General features: G+C 52.1%; 1 protein-coding gene and 1 long non-coding RNA gene across 4 annotated transcripts, besides 1 other annotated feature; both read right to left on the bottom strand.

The window, feature by feature from the left end:
- Positions 1–1,878: 1,878 nt before the first annotated feature.
- Positions 1,879–14,274, bottom strand: CD177 (CD177 molecule). Of its 3 annotated transcripts, none has more exons than XM_017027021.3 (10): positions 14,194–14,274; positions 13,967–14,107; positions 13,568–13,753; positions 12,177–12,299; positions 11,852–11,968; positions 7,555–7,695; positions 6,632–6,817; positions 6,381–6,515; positions 5,732–5,872; positions 1,879–2,296 (listed from the first exon to the last, which is right to left on the bottom strand). In XM_017027021.3, exons 1-10 carry the CDS (start codon positions 14,243–14,245, stop codon positions 2,115–2,117), a joined length of 1,404 nt encoding a protein of 467 aa, XP_016882510.1. In that variant the 5' UTR covers positions 14,246–14,274; the 3' UTR covers positions 1,879–2,114. The 3 variants fall into 3 exon arrangements, with proteins under 3 accessions (XP_016882510.1, XP_016882511.1, NP_065139.2); XM_017027022.2 differs by lacking the exon at positions 1,879–2,296 and adding an exon at positions 4,152–4,378; NM_020406.4 differs by lacking the exon at positions 1,879–2,296 and having other exon boundaries at positions 4,788–5,872.
- Positions 3,254–3,755: an enhancer, noted in NCBI's record as "H3K4me1 hESC enhancer chr19:43868357-43868858 (GRCh37/hg19 assembly coordinates)". NCBI's record gives its function as "activates a minimal SCP1, AML or CMV promoter by ChIP-STARR-seq in naive H9 embryonic stem cells {active_cell/tissue: H9 hESC(naive)}" and the evidence as "EXISTENCE:reporter gene assay evidence [ECO:0000049][PMID:30033119]".
- Positions 14,275–18,411: 4,137 nt separating the features above from the next.
- Positions 18,412–18,904, bottom strand: PRG1 (p53-responsive gene 1). Its single transcript, NR_026881.1, has one exon. It is a non-coding gene; the product is annotated as a p53-responsive gene 1 (long non-coding RNA).
- Positions 18,905–21,210: the final 2,306 nt, after the last annotated feature.

Below are 21,210 nucleotides of genomic sequence, written 5' to 3'. Positions count from 1 at the left end.
AGAGAGACAGGGAGACACAGAGATGAAAAGACACAAAGTGAGCCAAAGACACACAGTGAGGAGGAGACAGAGCCAGAAACAGAGACCCAGTGCGGTGGAAAGAGAGAGGCAGACAGACAAGAGCAGCATCTTCAGGGCGACCCGATGCCCAGTGCCCCTGAACTGCTCCACGGGGAGGTGGCTGAGCGCACAGCCTGCATCCCATCCATCATTTCCTGGCCTTCGTGACTGGGTGACCGTGCACAATCCAGTCCCCGTCTCTGAGCCTCAGTTTCCACACTGTAAACCAGGCATAGATACACCACCTCAAGGGTGGTGGAGAGGGCTGGGCTGGCTGTTTCTGCTTAATGCCCCCTCATGTTTCACAAAGGACCCCATGAACTGTGATGAGAGTCACTGTTCATTATCATGACGGCTTCCAGTACTTACAGCAGTCAGCACTAATGTCATGCACATCATCAGCACTTGGCATGAATCCCCATTCATTACAGATCAGTATTAATTGAGTCGATGCTCTGTGCCCGATACTTGTACACTCATAACATGGATTGTTAATTTAATTGAGACAACCACAGTCTGAGGTCAGTGATATCACGATCATCTCCACTTTCCAGAGAGGAAGCTCTGCTGGTAAGGTGCGGAGCTGGGGTTCAAACCCAGGTGGTCTGGCTCCAGGGCCAGGTGTGCCCAGGAGCAGGGCTCTTCCTGGGTGTCCAAGGCCACCTTGTCTCCAGGAGTGTAACCGTGTTTCCAGCCACTGAAAACTTGGATCAAAGCCCAAAGTAAACTTTCCCTTTTCTGGCTTTGAGGTGTGGTGTTTAAATTCAGAGACATTCTCCAGGAAAGCAGAAACTTCTTGGCTAAAATCCAAACCTAGGGAATTTATTGCAGAGATGGGGACGTGGTTCTCATTTCTGCCCATCTCAGAGTACAGATTAATTAACTCAGAAGATTCAAAAGATTATATTTTCCATATTCCTTGCTGAACATAATATTATACCCTTTTCTCTCCAGTTTTATGCTTCTTTTTTTCTTGGTGCTAAAGAAATTGTAAACCTTTGTCTTAAAACTGGAGTCCCTTCCAACTGCTAGTGACAGAAATCCCAGCAAGATAAGAAGGAGCAAATGTCCCTGCTTCCTAGACAACTTGAGATGTATACAGATCCTATTCAGCATCCTACAATGTTCTTGCTTGACGCCCACAAAAACCTTTCATCCTGTACGGGGAAATCAGACTTGACTAAACTCATACTGGCTTTGAAGAAGTAAAATCAGGATTGATAAATTCATATACGGTAAATATCAGAGAGGTAGAAAGTAAACAATAGGTGATACAGGGAATACCCACAAATTAGGAAAGCAACGGGCCATTTAAACCACAATAGAATTATAAAAGAAATGAAGCACAGGCTCACGCCAGTAATCCCAGCACTTTGGGAGGCCAAGGCAGGCAGATCACCTGAGGTCAGGAGTTTGAGACCAGCCTGGCCAACATGACAAAACCCCATCTCTACTAAAAATACAAAAAAATTGCCGGTCGTGGTGGCGGGTGCCTGTAATCCCAGCTACTCGGGAGGCTGACGCAGGAGAATCGCTTGAAGCTAGGAGGCGGAGGTTGCAGTGAGCAAAGATCACGCCACTGCACTCCAGCCTGGGTAACAGAGCGAGACTCCATCTCAAAAAAAAAAAAAAAAATAGAAAGAAAGAAATGAACCACAGCACTTCCCAGTACATTACTCCAGTTGGAATTGCAAAATATTATTCTCGATAACTCCTGGATGAGTATATTTAGAGTATATTTAGAAACGAAAAAATGTAAGAGAGTCTATGTTTCAAATCTAGTGCATTATTTTATGGAGATTTTCACAAGCTCCAAAAGATTAACAGTGCAGAGCTGGAGGTTCTAGAGAAATTCCGCGCCTCCTCCTGCAGGTAACTCTGACCATTCGGAAAGCAGCTCTTGGCTCATCCCTGGGCCAAGTGCAATCAAGTTCAGGGCCGGGTGCTCTCTGAGCTACCAAACCATAACCTGGGGCATGCACAGCAGCCTCCAGCATCCACGGGACAGCTGAGCATGGGGTCAGGCTCAAGCAGGTCTGAGGCCAGCAAGTGACTCAGGCTCCCATGGCACCTGTCCTTCTGCCCCTCCCTCTACCACATCTGTGAGCTCCTGGGAAGCCCTGTGACCTCATACAGAGGAGGAAAGTGCAGACCAGGCTTATGGATGGGTCCTCACGGTGAGCTGGCGCCCAGCAGAAGTGGACGGCGGCTGCCTTAGTGCCCACTTCAGGTGGTCCTGAGGAGTGATGAAGGGAAATCCTTCAGATGGGCAGAACCTCAGGGGTTCTGCAAGGAGGGATGGACTTGGGTCCATTGCATGAACCCAGAGCGGGCCACATGGTCAAGGACTTGAAGAGAATAAAAGAGTAAACTTAAGACAGGGAGGACACATGGATGTTCCTCTGGGGATGGGCACAAAGTGTGAGCTATGCCGTCCCCACCCTTAAGCCCAGAACCTGTGCTGTGGGGATGAGGTTCTTGGTGTTTGGTGGATGGTGTCAGGCAGACTCTGTCCCTCAGAGCTTGTTCAGGGGGTCCAGGTGCAGATGGCCACATGGATAGGGAGGACGGCGACATACCTTACCACAAGTGGACTGAGTCTCCCAGCACTGGCCTGGCTGCACACTGTATCCAGCCCTGCCCAGTGTAGGCAGAGCCCGGGGCTAAGCCCCTGGAAGGCGTCATTTTACAGGAGGACTACCCGGCCACTGCAGATAGGCTGGCCACACAGGACACGTCCCATCCTGGAGGGGACTGGGCTTTGTCCTCACACGGATACGCACACACTGGGGGTTCCAGTTGGCCTTCCCTGGACCCTGCTCAGTGCTTCTGTGAACAGCGCCTTTCCTGTGGCTCTGGAACCCATGCAGGGTTGCTTCCACTGGGGACACGTGTTAACGCAAAGAATGGGGGGTAATTAACTCACACCCATGGAACCCACTGACCGTCTCAGGTGCCCCTCTATACAGACACAGCTGCTTCTCAGATTGGCGCAATGGCTCATGTGTGGCTTATCAGGGCACCGGGAGGGAGACCGTACCCCACCACCCACAGGAGGGGCCACACATCTTATAAACCAGCAACCAGGCTATCGGGTCACGCGCCCCAGGGCCAGATGCAAAGATCCAGGAAAGACAGGAAGAATAAGCGCGGCTCCCTCCCGTGACTGCACCTGCCAGCCCACTGAGAGAATGCTTGCTCTTTGTCCCCGTGGCCCTGGGCTGCTGTGGATGAGGAATCTCTTCCTAGTTCTGATCTGCAGGAAGCCATGACAGCCCTCCAGCCATCCTGTGCCCCTTGTGCTGCCAAAACAGCAGGCAAAGGAGACGTCACTCTGCAGTCGGGGGAATGGCATCTGATTACAGAGGGAGGTCGGGTGGCTGGGACAAGGAGGCTATTTTCGAAGGCAGGCAACTCATGGCGGTAACATTTCCTTGGCCAGGGCCCTGTTCCATGGAAAACTACAGAAACCCACTAAAGACAAGGCCATCCAAGACTCACTCTCCATAAGAATCAAGATTTGGGTTACACTGCAGGTAACAAATAACATCCAAAGGAGGTTTTGGAAGTGGGAAGACAATGTGGAATGTACTGGAAGAAAGCAGCTCTAAGCACCAGCAGCCCCGCCCCCAGGACCTCAGCAGCTGTATTGGAAGCCATCTCCTCCCCATCTTTCTCTCATTGTGGGTGAAGAACTGGTGCCCAGCACAATGGGAGGAGGACATCACTGTCACCATCACACACTGTTACTGTGACAGAGGGAAGGACTGGAATTGTGTGTCATCTGTACGGAGGACTCTGATTTATTTTTCCCCCTTGAGACAGGGTCTTGCTCTGTCGCCCAGGCTGGAGTGCAGTGGTGCAGTCTTGGCTCACTGCAGCCTTGACCTCCTGGACTCAGCCTTCTGAGTAGCTGGGACCAGTAGAGGGAGGGGGCGCACACCACCACACCCGGCTTATTTTTTGTATTTTTTTGTAGAGAAGCGGTTTCACTATGTTGCCCAGGCTGGTCTCAAACTCCTGGGCTCAAGTGATCCTCCCACCTCGGCTTCCCAAAGTGCTGGCATTATAGGCGTGAGCCACCGAGCCCGTCCTGGACTTTGATTTTCATTTGGACAAAGGGAAAGGGTGGATGCCGAGGGGCAAGGGAGTGAACGGTACTAGACGTGTTCTGTTTCCTTCTCCAGATTCGCTCTCTTCTCCTCTTCCCTCTCCTCTCCTCTGTTCTGTAGTGTGAATGGCAGATCTATGGGGGCTGGACCAGTGGAGTCTCCTGCTTCTGTGGCCTCTAGGGGGTTCAGTCAATGGGGAACCTCAACTGGAGACCAGAGTGAGGACATCAGTTTGGAATTTTAGTTCCCCACTTCCCTCCCCAGTATCATTGTGGGCTGGACGCGTTTTTCAGCCTGAGATGGGAGCTCTTGTTAGGCAACCCTCTCTGAATATCTCTCTCTTTCTGTCTCCGGCTCTCTCTCCAGCTCTCTCTGTCTCTTTCTGTCTATGTCTCTCTCTCTCTCTCTCTCTCTGTCTGCAGATTCCAGCAGTGGCTCTTCTCCTCACCCTTTTTGGGCTATGGTGGTAAGAGAGACCCAATGATAACAGCTCTGGGAAAATGCTAACCCATTTTTTTCTGGAGTTCTCTCAAGCCCTCATGTCAATTATCCCACGATACGCAGATGCTACATAGCAACGTTTGGGTCAGCGACGAATTGCGTATAGAACGGTGGTCTGCTGAGATGACAATAGTGTATTTATGCTGTACCTTTTCTATGTTTAGATGTGTGTAGATGCACAAATACTTGCCGTGGTGTTAAGATTGCCTGCAGTATTCACACCATAACATGCACTGCAGGCTTGTAGCCTAGGAGCAGTCGACTCTAGCGTCCATCCTGGGTGTGTATTGGGCTGTACCATCTGGGTTGGTGTAAGTGCACGCTACAATGTTCCTATGGTCATAAAATCACCTAACGACACATTTCTAACGACACGTCCCTGTCGTTAAGCAATGCATGACTGTACTAACCTCTCCTGCAGTTGCTCAGATGGGGCGAGCCTCCTGTTTGTGCTAGGGCCCTGGCTGCTAGGCTGGAAGCCTCATACGTCTCAGTGCATCTTCCCCTCCCAGGTCATGGTGATGCCCAAATACGTTTGGCTGGAGCACCCTGAAGTCTCTGCTACCATCCAAGCTGGTTTGGAGACGTGAACCAGACCAATGAAGGGCAGGCTTTAGATGGTCATTTTCTCATTAGGCTCCTCTCCTCCCCCACGCTAGATCCCTGGGTGTCCTGCTGCCCCCTCACATGGAGAAATCCCAGCACTGGGAGAAAGGACAGGGTCTGTATTATCAGATACATGCAGCCACTCCTCCAGCGTCCCCTCTCCCATAGGGCAAGTCCGGATGCTCCAGGCTCTCCCCAGTGTTGCTGTTAGGTGAGTAGATATGAATGATTGTGTGTGGGGAAGATGATTCATGGACAGAATGGGAAAGAATCTGGTGTCCAAGGCCATTAGGTTATGAGGTCAGAGGGAGGTTGAGTGTGGGTGGTCAGCAGCGGTGAAGAATCGTGGGGGTAATAGAGTTAGCAGGAAGGGCAAACCACTCCCCACCACAGCGCTGGGGCCAGTGCCAGCCCCACCCCCCAAGTGAGAGACTCCAGGCCCTCAGCCCCACCTCCCTCATGCTGAGAGGCAGGAGGCTGCACATCACGCTTCTCACGCGCAGAGAAGATCCCGATTTGTCTGGTGTGGTTCAACAAGAAGCTGGAAGGTTGGGCCACGCAGCCCTGAATGCTCATTTTGGTGGACAGCCCACCTAGAGGGAGAAGACCAAGTCAGAAAGGACACAGAGTACAGCCCAGCCAAGTTGTAAACCCAGGAGTCCAGGCCCCAGACCCTCCTCCCTCAGACCGAGGAGCCCAGACCCCCAGCTCCAGCTCCTCAGACCCAGGGGTCCAGGCCCCCAGCCCCTCCTCCCTCAGACCCAGGAGTCCAGGCCCCCAGTCCCTCCTACCTCAGACCCAGGAGTCCAGAGCCTCAGCTCCTCAGACCCAGGAGCCCCGGCCCCCAGCCCCTCCTCCCTCAGACCAGGAGTCCAGGCACCCAGCCCCTCCTCCCTGGGACCAGGAGCCCAGGCCCCCAGCGCCTCCTCCCTCAGACCAGGAGTCCAGGCCCCCAGCCCCTCCTCCCTCGGACCAGGAGTCCAGGCCCCCAGCGCCTCCTCCCTCGGACCAGGAGTCCAGGCCCCCAGCCCCTCCTCCCTCAGACCCAGGAGTCCAGGCCACCAGTGCCTTCATCCTTGGGGCCCTGCTTGCAGCACTCACCTCCTGAGAGATGAATGTACCCATCATAACAATGAGTGGCGCCCCTGGGGCAGGTCATTCGGGGGGAGCCACTTGAACAGGTTCCAAGGGGCTGCACACAGGTAGGACACTGCCGGTCTCCTGGGACAGGGGCAGCTGGGGAGCAGAGGGAAGGTGGGGGTACATGACTTTGTGCTCAGAGCAGCTGGCCACCTTGGGCCAGAGTCTCTGTGTGTCTGGGCCTCATTTCTCCACGGCCCTGGATCCCATACCTTGAGGAGGGAGGGAGTTCAGCAGAACGCTGCTGCTGCTGGCACTATTGCACAGGTCCGAGGAGCAGAAGTGGGTATAGGAGGCCACAAGCACCCCAGGAGGGGCTGAGTGGATGGTGGTCTTCTGGGAATTTTGAGCCCCAACAGTGCTGCAGCCTTTTGTCCCCACCAGGGTTGATGTGAGTCCTGAGGGTGAGAGGGAAAGCTGGGCTGGGGACTGGGCAGCTCCCAGGGCAGCAGGGGCTCCAGAGCTGGACTCCCTGCCCTTCACAATACCCCCCAGGCAGAGGGTGAATGCCCTGATCACAACTGCTGGGTCATGTTTAGTGTGGGGCAAAGACGGAGGCTGGGGCCTGGGTCCTGCCCGAAGCTCTGCCTCCTCCCAGTTCTCGCTCAAAGGTCACCTTCTCCATGAGTCTCCCCTGAGCACTGAGCTTAAAATTGCAGCCTTCCCCTCACTTTTCCTATCTCCTTTTCCTTGCCAGATTTCTCTGCAGAGCTGGGATCTCCATTCCCCATACTTTGCTGCTTTTTGTTTGTTTGTTTCCTGTTTCTCAAGGCATATAAAGCTGCAGGAATACAGATGGGATTGGATCTGCGGCACCTAAAACAAATGCTGGATAAACATTTCCAGAATGTATGAAGCCACTGAGAGTCCTCGGTGTTGGCACGGTTCTCCACCCTGGGCAGGGATTACCGCATACGTGGTCACCCCTCCCCAGAAAGGCAGACACTGTCATTCCCACTGCTTCACCCCCAGTTTTCATAAGGGGAACCCAAGATGCAGAGAGAAGAAGAGTCGGATTGAAAATTGCAGATGTGAAGGGAGCTGAGCAGGAAATTCAGGGGAAAGAATCCAGTGGGGTGGAGGGAGCTGCCAGGGACTTGGGACAGGTGTTCGTCTTCTACCTCAGTCCACGTACCTACATCTAGGAGCAGCAGCGTCTCCTGACACACCTGCCCCACCTCGCACATCTCGGTATTCGATGTGGTCCAATCAGTGGGTTCTTGAGCCAAGTTTCCGTGTGTCATAATGGTGGTCCCCCGATGACAGGTCAGAAAATCTGGGGAGAGGAATCCCAGGGTGTGTGTAAGCCAGGAACCCACCATGTCTGTCCCTCCACGTCCTGGGCTAGGGAAGGTGATCACACTCTTGAGTCACACTCCAGGTGACCTGGCCACAGATTCCCTTAACCAAGGATTCAGAAGGGACTTGGGAGTCGAAATCCCACCCCCATTGTTCCCTGTTTCTGCTTGAACACCCGCAGGGACGTCCTCTCACAGCCCTGGGGGAACGGCCGTTCCTTGCTTTAGCTGTGAGAGCAATGGAAGCTCTTCCTTATCCTCATCCCATCTCTGCTTCCCCATCTGAGCTTTAAGGTCCTCATTTCAATAATAAGGAAGGCAGCCTGAGACCTTTCTCATACCTTTCAGTTGCAAAGCCCTATGTTCCAAACAAGATGCGAAGGGCCAGGGTGGGCTGAGCACTGCCGCTGAGCACTGCCTCTGCACCTGGCTGACCTCATTGCTTCCCACAGATCCACCCATCTAAGGTTCCAGGGAACACAGCTTATCTGGGATGCCTCATTTCCCCACAGCACCCCAGCAGTAGGTGGTGTGATCACAATCAACACCCTCATTTGCAACAAGGGAAACAGAGGCAGGATTGCTCAGTAGCTGCCCATGCCACACAGCTTGTGAGTGGCAGAGGTAGGCTGGGAACCCAGGGACTCTGGACCCTCAGGGTCGGGGTTGGGAGCAGGAGGGAGACAGGTACTGAAGACCATCCTCGGCTACCTTGGCCCCGAGGCCCTCAAGGCTCTAGTGTGAAACCACAGCCCCTGGCCTCCCCTCACGGCCATCACAGAGCAGGGGGGATCGGTCCCATGATGCAGGGACTCTTAGACTGAGCCCCCAGCTTCCACCAACACATGCGACCTGCAGAACCGATGCCACCCTGGAGGGCTGCTCATTTGCATACTTCACAGATGACAAAATCAAAATCATGGCTCCTGCTCCCTTCTCCCACCCTTCTCTCCCCACTCCCATCTCCCCTACTTACACCCGTGGCGGCTCGTTTCTGCCAGTCTAGCTGAACACATTGGTGTTGTCCTTGACCACGCTCTTTCTCTCCCACATTGTGTTCCTCAAGTAATCCTACTGGCTTGAGCTGCAGAAAATCTTCAAAACCCAACCCCACGTCACCACCTCTGCTGCCTCCAAGCCCCCCGCTTCACTCCCACCTGACTCCTGGGGCAATCCCTGCACCCGCCTGTCACTGTTCCTCTCGCTCCATTCTCCACCCAGCAGGCAGAGGGAGGCTAGGTAAACCTAAGTCAGTTCATGTCACTCCTCTGCTCCGAAGACTCCAGGAGGTCCCCATTCTGGAGAATAAAATTCTAAGCCCTTCCAATGGCCCGGGAGGCCTGATAAGACGCGGCCGCCTCCCTGCTCCCTCCATCACTCTGCTCCGCACAGGTGTTTCTGGCAGGCACTCACCCACATCATGGTCTTTGCATCTGCTTCCGTCCCATGTCTGCAACCATCCCCTCCTCTTCCCCAAATCCAGGGAAAGAGGCTCCATGAGATATGGAGACTTTTGATCCTCGTGTGAAGCTGAGGCTGGAAAGCTGTTTCGGCGGCAGAGCTGGGCCTGGGACCCACGTGTCCCTGATTCAGACGTGGGCTCTTCCCTGCTCTCTCACTGGGACCGCTGCCCAGCTCCTCTAGGGGCAGCCAGGGCCTTATCTGCCCGGGCCCCTTGGTTCTTCACAAGGGGCTGCTGCCATGGCCCCTTTTAGTAACCTGCATCCTTGCACCCAGCCCTCCCACTGCTGCGGCTTCTTATAAGCGGTTCCATCACCCTGAAGCCTCTTCTCTCCTGCACTTGGTCCCCAACGTCTTGTTGTTCCCCCAGTTTCTGATGCCTGGTCTTGTGATGCTCACTGTCTGCTAAACTGCTGAACTGCACTTCACCAGGGAGGCAAAACAGCCTGCAAGATCTGGCTCCAGTGTTGAAAGCAGATGAATCTCTATGAACAGCACTGATTGGTGCATAGTCGCTGTGTTTTATGTGGTGCGTTTGTGTAGTGTGTGCACATGCGTGATGTGTGCAGGTATGTGTGCTGTGTGTGAGTGCGTAGTATACATGTGGGGGGTGTGGTTGTATGGGGTGTGTGGTGTGTTCATGGTATGTTTGTGTGGTGCGTGCATGTGTAGACATACTGTGTGTGATATATGTGGTATGTGTTTGTTTTGTGTGTTTGGTGTGGTGTGTGTTCTGTGTATCTGTGTTTTGCTTGCATGTGGTGTGTGTGGCATGCCAGATGTGTTGTGTGTATTGTGTGTTGTGTGTGGTATGTATTGCATGTCTGATATGTTGAGAGGGAGAGTGTGTGTGGTACCTGACGTGTAGTATGTGGCATACACACTACATGTACACGTAGTAATTGTGCACTCGTGTGATGCATTTGTGTGTGTTGTGCATATTGTGTGCTCTGTGTGTGATTTGTGTTCCATAGGTGGTATGTCAGGGGTATGGGGGAGTGTGTGTGTGGTATGTGATGTGTGGTGTGTATGTGTCATGGTGTGACGCATTCGTGTCTGCTGTGCTTATTGTGGGCTGTGTGTGTGGCATGTGTTGCGTCTGATTTGTTTCTGAAATACCTTCTGGGTTATCAGTGTCATCTGGTCCCAGAGACCAGGGCCAGATCCTTAACAGCAGCATCAGTCAAAAGGAAAGATAAATGGCTCAGACCCTGCCCTCCCTGCTCCACAATCTTCCATGGCTCCCCTGCCTTCAGGAGAGGGTCCACCCCTCAGCCTGGGTTTTCAGGTACTTGAGCGACCACCAGGTTCCCCACTTAACTCTTCCTCCCCCACCAGTATCCATTCTGAAGGCATGCCAGTTCATTTCCTCCTCAGCCTCACACCTGCTGTGCCTTTGGCTTGGAGCAGCTCCCTCTTCGACCCCACACCCACCTTGTCCACCTGGAAAACTTCGAATCACCCCCAATCCCAGCTGTACCCCCTCATCTTGATGAGTCCTTCTCAGGTGGAGTGAGGGACTCTTCTTGAAAACAGCAGGCTCACTCCCACCTCCAGGCCTATGCAGCTGCTACACACTGTTCCCTCTGCCACCAATGTCCTCTTCCTCTTCTACCAATAAGCTGTAGGTCATCTTTAACACACGGTTCACAGGCCACCTCCTCTGTAAAGCCCTCCTTGACTCTCTACCCCAACAACATCAGTATTTTCCTCCTCTGAGCTGCCCCAGGCCCCACATCCCCGTTTGCCACAGCCCTGATCACCTCAAGCTGTGACCATCTGTGTCTGTAGCACCTCCCCCTCCTAGTCCTGGAGGCCCTTCAGGTAGAAACAGGGTCTGACTCATGAGGGAGCTTTGCTCAAGTGAGCCCTGCATGTCCTCACTTGAGCAAACACCTCCTGGTACCCTTCCTGAGCCGTCTCCTGAGCTACCCAAGGCTGGAAACCCTGGTGCCAGTGGTACCAAGCCCCTAGCCTCAGGCTCCCAGCCTAGCTAGGGAGAAACAGCCAAATACACAGAGGAATGTGTGCAGAGCTCACACAACTCTCTCTTCTAAGCTCTAAGGGTTAGCGTGATGTGGGCAGACAAGGAAACTGAGGCAGGGGCAGGGAAGACTTTGCTTCTAGGAGGGAAGCTGGGATTCCTATAAGACCCCCACCTCCCCACCATGGCTTCCTGTTGCTTTGGAGCCCTTCTTATGGAGACATTCCCTGGCACTCTCTTCCATGGCAGCACCTAAATGGGTAAGTGGGGACCCTCTCAGTGTCCTCCTTTAACTCTTGCTTTCTCTGTCACACCCAAAGTCCCCTTGATTTTCTCTCTGATGTTCTCTCCTGTGCAGGCAAGGCTGCTGGGGCACTCCAGCACCATGAGCGGGGCGGGGGCTGATACGGGTGGGAGAGAGGCTACGGTGGCCTAGGGAAGTGGGAGACCTAGGGTTACCCAAGGCCAGGGGTGTGGAGACACAGAAATTGAAGCAACCAGTCACTCTCAGCAGCTTGAGAGCCAGCAGGGGCCCCAGCACTCACTGTTGCCTAAAGCCACATGCCAAGCAACCCACCCTGCACCCTTGACCTTCCTCCTGCTGGCTTTGGTGTGATGGCTCTGGATGCCCCATGTGTCATCGTGCCCCGAGGCTGCAGTCCAGGGCACAGCCTAGGGGCAGGACTCACCTTTCATATCGCAGTTCTCAGTCATACCCACGGGCCCAATTTCCTGTGTCCCATTGAGCAGGTTGCAAACTGGCTGGGGCATGCATCCCTGGACTCTCAGATTGGAGAAGATGCCTCCTGCAGAAAGGGGGAGCGAGGGAGAGTCAGTGATGCTGCCTCCAGGACCACCCAACCCTCAGAGGCAGGCATAGCTCCAGGAAGCCAGGCCCACCCTCCTCTGGGTCTCATGCCGTGCCTCAGCTCACCTCACTCCCCAAAGCCTAAGATCTCAGTCCCCAGACCTTCCAGTTCAGTCCCCACAGGGACCCCGATGTCCCAGGCTTACCTCCCCTGAGCCTGAGGAGGCCATCATAACAGTGTGTGGTCCCCTTGGGGCAGATCTCTTCTGTTGTCCCCTCCAGACAGCCTTCCATAGACAAGCAGACTGGGCACCTCAAGGATCCTGGGTCTAGGAAAGTGACAGACAGAGTGAGGGGGCACTGAGAGGGCACTGGATTTGATCAGATACCTTCTCTGCACCCCACTTTTGCTGGCCTCAAGAGTCAACCTGCTCAGCCTTCCCAAAGGGGCCTTCTGCAGCTCCCATCATGGGATCTGGATGTGGGAAAATAAAGAAGTGTAATCCATAAAAGAGGAAGGGAGAATGAACAGGAGGTCTGGGTAGAGGCACCCAGGGCTGGGTACAGAAAGTGGTCTTGGCTGGGTGTGGTGACTCACACCTGTAATCCCAGCACTTTGGGAGGCTGAGGCAGGTGGATCACGAGGTCAGGAGTTCAAGACCAGCCTGGGCAACATAGTGAAACCCTGTCTCTACTAAAAATACAAAAATTAGCCGGGCGTGGTGGCAGGCTCCTCTAGTCCCTGCTACGTGGGAGGCTGACGCAGGAGAATCGCTTGAACCCGGGAGTCGGAGGTTGCAGTGAGCCGAGATTGCGCCACTGCACTCCAGCCTGGTCGACACAGCGAGACGCTTTCTCAGAAAAAAAAAAAAAAAAAAAAAAAAAGAAAAGAAAAGGGGGGGTGTCTTGGGTGGCAAGTGGGGGTGGGGGGTGGGCAGGGTGGAGGAGGGGCCTGCTGAGGCCAAATGTAGACTCAGACATGGTCAAGTCTGAACCTTTCAACAAAGTCTGGCCTTCCGAGGGGAGACACAGAAGCAGACTCATTGGTCAAGGGAATGAGGGGGTGCCCTGGAACGAGCCAGTGCCTTCACCTGCAAGCGCTACTAAACCTCCAAGAACAGGAGACTTCTGTGTTCACAAGCTGTTCCAATAAAAGAAGCGCAAAATATCTCCCTAGACTCTTTATAACACCAGACAAGGAAAGTGGAAAGTTACAGTTCAGTCTCCCTTAGGAAGAGGAAATAGCAAAAACCCTGCAGGAGAACTTCTTGAACCAAACGCAACAGAATAAAAAAAGAATGCAGGATAACCCAGTTAATGGTGATTTCATATCAGAAATCCGTCCTGTTTGCTCTTAGAAGAGGAGGGGTGCGGGGATTCCCGGGTGGCAGGTCGGTGGGAGGGATCGGGAGTGAGTGGGGAGGGATGGAAAGGGAGCGGGGCGGGGCGATGGTCAGGGAGCAGTCAGGGGAGGGATGGAGCCAGCGAGGGTCGGGATAGCGAGCGAGGGTGGGAGGGACTCCGTAACAGCCCCTCTGTGCTCAGCGGATCCCCTTCTAGCAGCCCCTCCCTCTCCTCCCGACCCTCCCGCAGGCACCTGCTGGGGGCTGTGGGGCCCAAAGCGGGAGGGAGTTAACGAGGTTGTTGCAGAAGTCCTCCTGGCGGCACACGAAGGTGTAGGAGATCAGGGAGAGGCCGGGGCCCATCCGGTGCTCAGTGACGCGGGGCTCCTGGTCCTTGGCCTCCGTGCAGCCCTTGGAGAGCACCAGGCTCACTTGGGGTCCTGGACCGAAAGAGGGAGGCAAGCGAGGATGGAGGTCAGGCCTCCAGGGTCCTGGAGGGAGACGCTGCTACACGGCGTAGGCTGAGAGGCTGGAAAGGGGATCACCGGGACCCTAGGAGTCGATCCCCCGGAGGGGTGGCTCCCGGGTCCCTGCACAGGGATCAAGGGACTGAGGGGACAGGGCGGGGTCTCTGCACGCCAGGGCCTTCTCACCGCTCTCAATGAGCATCAACGTGTCCTGGCACCCCAAGCCGCTGTCGCAGCTGGTGTTCTTAGGGGTCCATTGCCGGGGCAGGTCGGACACCTTCCACACATGCTGAACTGTCCCAAACTGGCAGAGCAGCGCCTGCACTCCTGGAGTGGCAAGAGCAAATCCATCTCAGCAGGGTTCCCTTGCCCGGCCTCCAGGGAATCTCCTCCAGGCTGGGCTCATCACTCACCTGGCAGTGGGAGGATGAACCCCAGGAGGGCCAGCAGTAATACCGCGCTCATGACCCGTCTGTGGCTGGTAATCTCTTTCTGCTTTTTCAGCAGGAAACAAGTCCTTTATACCAGCCCTTAAGCAGCCAGCCCAGAAAAGGGTGGGGAGGGGAGGGCCTTGCAAAATGGAGGCTTGGGCCCCACCCCAAGTCTCAATGGCCGCAGTGGCCTATCAGGGACCCCCTTTCTTCCTCAGACCTTCGGGTCCAGGCATCCAGCCCCTCCTCCCTCAGATGGAGGGTCCAGGACCCCCAGCCCCTCAGCCCCTCCTCCTTCAGACCCAGGAGTCCAGACCCCCAGCCCCTCCGCCCTCAGACCCAGGAGTCCAGGCCCCCAGTCCCTCCTCCCTCAGACCCAGGAGTCCAGGCCCCCAGTGCCTCCTCCCTCAGACCCAGGAGTCCAGCCCCCCAGCCCCTCCTCCCTCAGACCCAGGAGTCCAGGCCCCAGGCCTCCCTCTCTCAGACCCAGGAGTCCAGGCCCCGAGGCCCTCCTCCCTCCGACCCAGGAGTCCAGACCCCCAGGCCCTCCTCCCTCAGACCCAGGAGTCCAGGCCCCCAGGCCCTCCATAGTTAGAAACTGTGGCATCTTGACCCGAGGTTCCCCCGGTCCAGACTCCCAGCCCTCTTTCCTCCTGAGCCCAGCTATGTGGATCACCACCCCCACCCTCTTTCTCCAGTAGTTTGGGAAGGCAGTTTCCTCATTTCTCATGGGCTCCCTGGCCACCTCTGTACCCCAGATGGGGAAATGGCCCAACTACCTGTGAGGACGTTGTGCAGTGGGCATCAGCTTGTCCCCATGTCTTCCGGTCCTAGTTTCTACCCTCCACTGTCTTCCCACTTCTCTGTTCTTTCTCTTTCCTTCTTATATTGCTTTCTTTTGATTCTTCTTTTCATGCTTTTCTCTCATGCTTTCTCTTCTATTCTCTACCCTCACAGTACAACATAGGACTCAAGTCCCCAGTTTCCTACCACCAGGAAAGGCTTGGCCAGAGGTGGAGTAGAGACTGAATATCTATGAAAGAATTAGGATATATCTGAAAAATGCAACATTTATTTGCTGGAAGCCGATGGGAGAGCAGTGTTGTGCTGAAAAACCAAGTTTTCTGAAAAACAATACCCACAAATCCTGCCTCGTAGTGTTGGCCTATTTCTCTGGTGTAAATACTCATAGCATGTCTGATTTTAAGCTACCTACAGTTTGCCAACCAGGCTGATGAAATCCCTAGCTATTTAACCATGGGCTTGTCCAGGGCTGTACAAATCAGCTGTAACACACTGGGGTGGCGGGGAGGAAGACAGGAAGGAACCTGGGGTATCTGTCAGTGACTGCAGAGGGACGTTGTGGGTGTCTGTGACGGAGAGAGGAGAAGCAGAAGAGGGAAGGCGAGAGCAGGAATAGCAGAGAAAGAGAAATGAATGTGACTTGCAATTATATGTTTATTTTTGACATCTCTATAAATTTTATCTTTATTTGTCTTTGCAAGTTTATTGCAAGTTTAATATTTGCCACACAGACAGGGAAGTGTTTGTCTGATCTCCTGCTATGTCTCCACCACCTACATGGCATACAGTACATGCCCAGTAATTTTTTTTTTTTTTTAGAAACAGAGTCTTGCTCTCACCTATGCTGGAGTACAGTGGTGCAGTTGTAGCTCACTGCAGGTCACTACAGCCTCCATCTCCTGGACTCAAGCAACTCTCCCACCTCAGCCTCCCGAGTAACTGGGACTACAGGTGCACACCACCATGTCTGGTTAATTTTTGTATTTTCAATAGAGACAGGGTTTCACTATGTTGTTCAGGCTGGTCTCAAACTCCTGACCTGCGGTGTTTTCATTTTGAAAAATTTCAGGCTGGGAGCGGTGACTCATACCAGTCATCCTAGCACTTTGGGAAGCCAAGGCGGGTGGATCTATTGAAGTCAGGAGATTGAAACCAACCTGGACAACACGGTGAAACCCCATCTCTACTTAAAAAAAAAATACAAAAATTAGCCCGGTGTAGTGGCAGCCACCTGTAGTCCCAGCTACTCCGGAGACTGAGACAGGAGAATCGCTTGAACCCAAGAGGCAGAGGTTGCAGTGAGCCGAGATCGCACCACTGCACTCCAGCCTGGGCAACAGAGTAAGACTCCATCTCAAAAAAAAAGACGGAAAAATTTCAAACCGGCAGAAAAGTTGCAAGGATAGTACAGTGAACACAAGTATCCCCTTCACTGGATTCACCCACTCTTCACATTTTATTGTATCTGTTTATACACACACAACATATGCTTTTAAAATATTCTTAAATTTTAAAAACAAGGAGTAGACATTGTAACTCTCACCACTAAGTGCTTCAGCAAGAACCTTCTTAAGATTATTCTTAAGGGGGCTGGGCACAGTGACTCACACCTGTAATCCCAGCACTTTGGAAGGATCACTTTAAGTCAGGAGTTCAAGACCAGCCTGGCCAACATGGTGAAACCCCATCTCTACTAAAAATATAAAAATTAGCTGGACATGGTGACACACAACTGTAATCCCAGCTACTTGGGAGGCTGAGGCAGGAGAATCACTTGAAGCTGGTGGTGGAGGTTGCAGCAGTGAGCCGAGATCACACCACTGCACTCCAGCCTGGGTGACAGAGCCAGGCTCCATCACAAAAAATAAATAAATAAAAAAATTTTTAAAAAGCATATATCATTCTTTTTTTTCCTCTCTCTCTCTTTTTTTTTAGATGCAGTTTTGCTCTCTCACCCAAGCTGGAGTGAAGTGTCGTGATCTCTGCTCACTGCAACCTCCGCCCTCCAGGTTCAAGCAATTCTCCTGTCCCAGCCTCCCGAGTAGCTGGGATTACAGGCGCCTGCCACCACGTCCGGCTAATTTTTGTATTTATAGTAGAGACAGGGTTTCACCATGTTGACCAGGCTGGTCCTGAGCTCTTGACCTCAGGTGATCCACCTGCCTCGGCCTCCCAAAGTGCTAGGATTACAGGTGTGAGCCACCACGCCCAGCCTATATAGATTATTCTTAAGGACTTTGTCCTGCGTAACCACAGACCAGGATCAGACCCGTGTAGTTTACACAGATGCACTGTTGTCTAATAGGAAGCCCATTTCCAGTTTTCCTCTGTTGTCCCAATGACATCTCTCATTGCGTTTTTGCTTTCTGATCAGGAGAACATCCGGGGTCAAGCATGAACTGCACTGCGTTGTCTTTATGAAAGAGAAACAAAAACTCAGGACCCCAATTCACTGTGACAGAAGGAAAAAAAAAAAACTGGAAGCTGAGTCATGCAAGAAACTGCCTTTCCTTTTGTTCCTAAGCAGACAGCTACAGAGAAAAGGTTAAGTATCTCCGTAGGTAGCTACTCTATGTTCATCTTATCTTTCTTTAAAAAAATTTTTACTTATTTATTTTTTTTTGAGAGAGTATCATACTTTGTCTCCCAAGCTGGGGCGCAGTGGCACGATCTTGGCTCACTGCGACCTCTGTCTCCCGGGCTCAAGTCATTCTGTCACCTCAGCCTCCCGTGTAGCTGGGACTACAGGCACCCACCACCGCGCCCAGCTAATTTTTGTGGTTTTTTTTGTAGAGATGGGTTTTGCCATGTTGTCCATGCTGGTCTCAAGTTCCTGGGCTCATGAGATCCTCCCACCTCAGCCTTTCAAAGTGCTGGGATTACAGGTGTGAGCCACCACGCCCGGCCATATTCACCTTATCTTTCTCAAGGTGCCAATTTACTGAGCGTGAGATGAATACGTGATTGATTATTCCCCTACCTCCTGCTTTCTCTTACACCATGTGGATTCAGTAATGCGACCACACCCTCCTTCTTTCACCGCCAGCCAGCTTTTCCACCCTAAATATTGAAGTCCTCAAAATTATCTTTGGAAAAAGGCACAGACCACAGACTGTTTCTATGATTGCATGGTTTTTTCTATGTCCTTAACCTTGGCAAAATAAGCTTCTAAGTTGATGGAGACCTGTCTCAGATACCTTTTGGTTTACATCTCATCTCTGGACTCCCCTTTAATCTAGGAGTGCTCCCCACCTGCCTTTCATTTTCTTTAATGTCATTGAAAGCAATGGTTCACTTCTTTTTTTTTTGTAAAGTCTTCCACCACCTGGATGTGTCTGACTCAGACTATGATTAGAGTAGTTTTAATGATTTTTGGCAATATTCTTCTAGCTGGGTGTCGTGTGTCACATTCAGAAGGCCTTTAATGCCTGTTTGTCAAATTCTTGGCTAATTAACAACTGCTGTGTGAGGTAAGCCATGGAGGAGGCTGTGTGAATGTCCTATTCCCCACCACGAGACCCTTCTGTCTCCTTGCACACATTGTGCCCAAGCTACTTCCAGAAAATCCTCTGTGATCACGGCAAATCACATGATGCTTTTGGTCCAGCTCCCCTGCTGCCCTCCTATCCACTCTTCTGCCCATTACAGGAAGCCTTTACACCCAGGCAGCTCAGCGTCCAGAGCTGGTTCCACTCATCCCCTTCAAGGAGAGGAAAACTGAGCCCTGGGAAGGAGAAGTAAAGCTGGAGTCACAAAGCCAGGAAATGGTGGCCAGGGGCACGACCCAGGCCTTATAAACAACCTGCACTCTTCCCCCTGCAACACAGCCTGCTGAGGACGCTCATCAGTCATCTCAGTGGTTCACTTCCAATCTCTTCATCTGCCAAGCACCCAGCATGTTCCAGCAAAGACAAATTATTCCTATGGCAAACTGACCTGCATGCAGTTTACAGGACTTTATGTTATAAAGAGGAGGGATCTATGGCACTTAATGAAAAGTTACACTTAAAGATTTTCATAGGCCTGGCTGGGTGTGGTGTCTCATGCCTGTAATCCCAGCACTTTGGGAGGCAGAGGTGGGTGGATCACCTGAGGTCAGGAGTTCGAGACCAGCCTGGCCAACATGGTGAAACCCTGTCTCTACTAAAAATACAAAAATTAGCTGGGCATGATGGCATGTGCCTGTAATCCCAGCTACTTGGCTGGGGCAGGAGAATGGCTTGAACCCAGGGGGCGGAGGTTGCAGTGAGCTGAGATTGTGCCATTGCACTCCAGCCTGGGCGACAGAGTGAGACTCCATCTCAAAAATAAAAGAAAGGATCTTTACAGGCCTTCGTGTACTGACCAGAGGAGCAAAAATGAATAAAAGGATTACAACATGAGGCTGACATTGCTGTGCGCCTATATCCTTGAGTGCTGGTGGCCCCATGGATTAGATCAACACCTTGGAAGCTAATTTGACACTAGACCAACAAAGTCCTTTGACCTGGAGTTTCACTTTGGCAAAAAATAATAAATAAATAAATAAATAAAATCCCTAAAGTGTATAAAGAGAAAGGAAGTTGTGATATTTGGAAATTGTGGGCTTTGAGTAAAGAGGCTGATATTCTAGACCTGCTATCATTTCACTATTACCTGAACAATTTACTTCCTCTTTCTAGCCTTCCATCTCTTCCTGCAAAATAAGGCATGCTTTTCAATCTCTTCACCATACAGGAAAAGGAAATAGAAATAGAAATAAATAAAGCCCACTCCAGGAGCAGTGGCTCACGCCTGCTGTCCCAACACTCTGGGAGGCTGAGGCGGGCGGATCGCATGAGCTCAGGAGTTCCAGGCCAGCCTGGGCAACATAGAGAAACCCCGTCCCTACCAAAAATATAAAAAAGTAGCCAGGCATGGTGGTGTGCACCTGTAGTCCCAGGTACTTGGGAGGCTGAGGTGGAATGATCTCTTGAGCCTGGGAAGTGGAGGTTGCAGTGAGCCAAAATTGCATCATTGCACTTCAGCCTGGATGATAGAGCAAGACCCCCTGTCAAAAAAGACAAAGAAAGAAAGAAATAGACAAAGCCCAATGCTAGCAGTGCTGTGGAACTAACATCTTAGGATTGGTGAAGAGAGTGGACATAGCACTTGTGGAAAGAGCCATATTTCCTGGGGGCCATAAGGCCACATATGCCCTGTGAAGACTGACCAGGGAGTGTTGGGCTGCTACCCACATTTCATCTATTTGTCAGGCAAAAATGCTTTAAAGATCATTCCACTTGACTTTCCTTTAAATAAAAATCATGTGGGAATGGAATGGAATTGACGAGTGGCATGGTGTATGCTGAAATTTTTAGAAGCTGCCAGATTGCTTTCCATAGTGGTTGTACCATCTTACATTCCCACCAGCAGCGTGAGCGTTCCAGTGCCTCCACATCCTTGCCAACACTTGGCGTGGTCACTCTTTTTAATCTTAGCCATTCTAATAGTTCTGTAGTGGTTTTATTGTCTTATTTTCTTATTGTGGTTTTATTCTGCATGTTTTTATTGAGACAGAGCCTCATTACGTTGCCCAGGCTGGAGTACAGTGGGCCCATCATAGCTCACTTTCTTTTCAGGAAAGTCTTCCCTGATCTTTCAGTCTAGGTCAGAAGCCCAGTAATATACAGTCATAAGGCCCCATATTTATTCTTTTTGTGATTTTTTTTGAGATGGATTTTTTTTTCACTCCAGACTGGAGTGGAATGGCACAGTCTTGGCTAAATGCAAGCTCCACCTCCCGGGTTCAAGCCATCCTTGTGCCTCAGCCTCCCAAATAGCTGGGATTACAGGCATGAGCCACTATACCCATCTAATTTTTAAATTTTTGGTAGAGACAGGGTATTAGCATGTTGCCCAGGCTGGTCTCGAACTCCTGACTTCATCAGCTTCCCAAAGTGCTGAGATTAAAGGTGTGAGCCACCATGCCTGGCTCAAGTTTGACTCTTTTTTTTTTTGAGATGAAGTCTCGCTCTTGTCCCCCAGGCTGGAGTGCAATGGCACAATCTTGGCTCACTGTAACTTCTGCCTCCCAGGTTCAAGTGATTCTCCTGCCTCAGCCTCCTGAGTAGCTGGGATTACAGGCGCCTGCCACCACGCCTGGGTAATTTTTGTATTTTTAGCAGAGATGGGGTTTCACCATATTGGCCAGACTGGTCTCAAACTCCTAACTTC

This window comes from Homo sapiens, chromosome 19 (assembly GCF_000001405.40).
Source record: "Homo sapiens chromosome 19, GRCh38.p14 Primary Assembly".
In the NCBI taxonomy this organism is placed as follows: domain Eukaryota; kingdom Metazoa; phylum Chordata; class Mammalia; order Primates; family Hominidae; genus Homo; species Homo sapiens.
The sequence above is the reverse complement of the archived record's forward strand: the minus strand, read 5'-3'. Positions and strand labels throughout refer to the sequence as shown.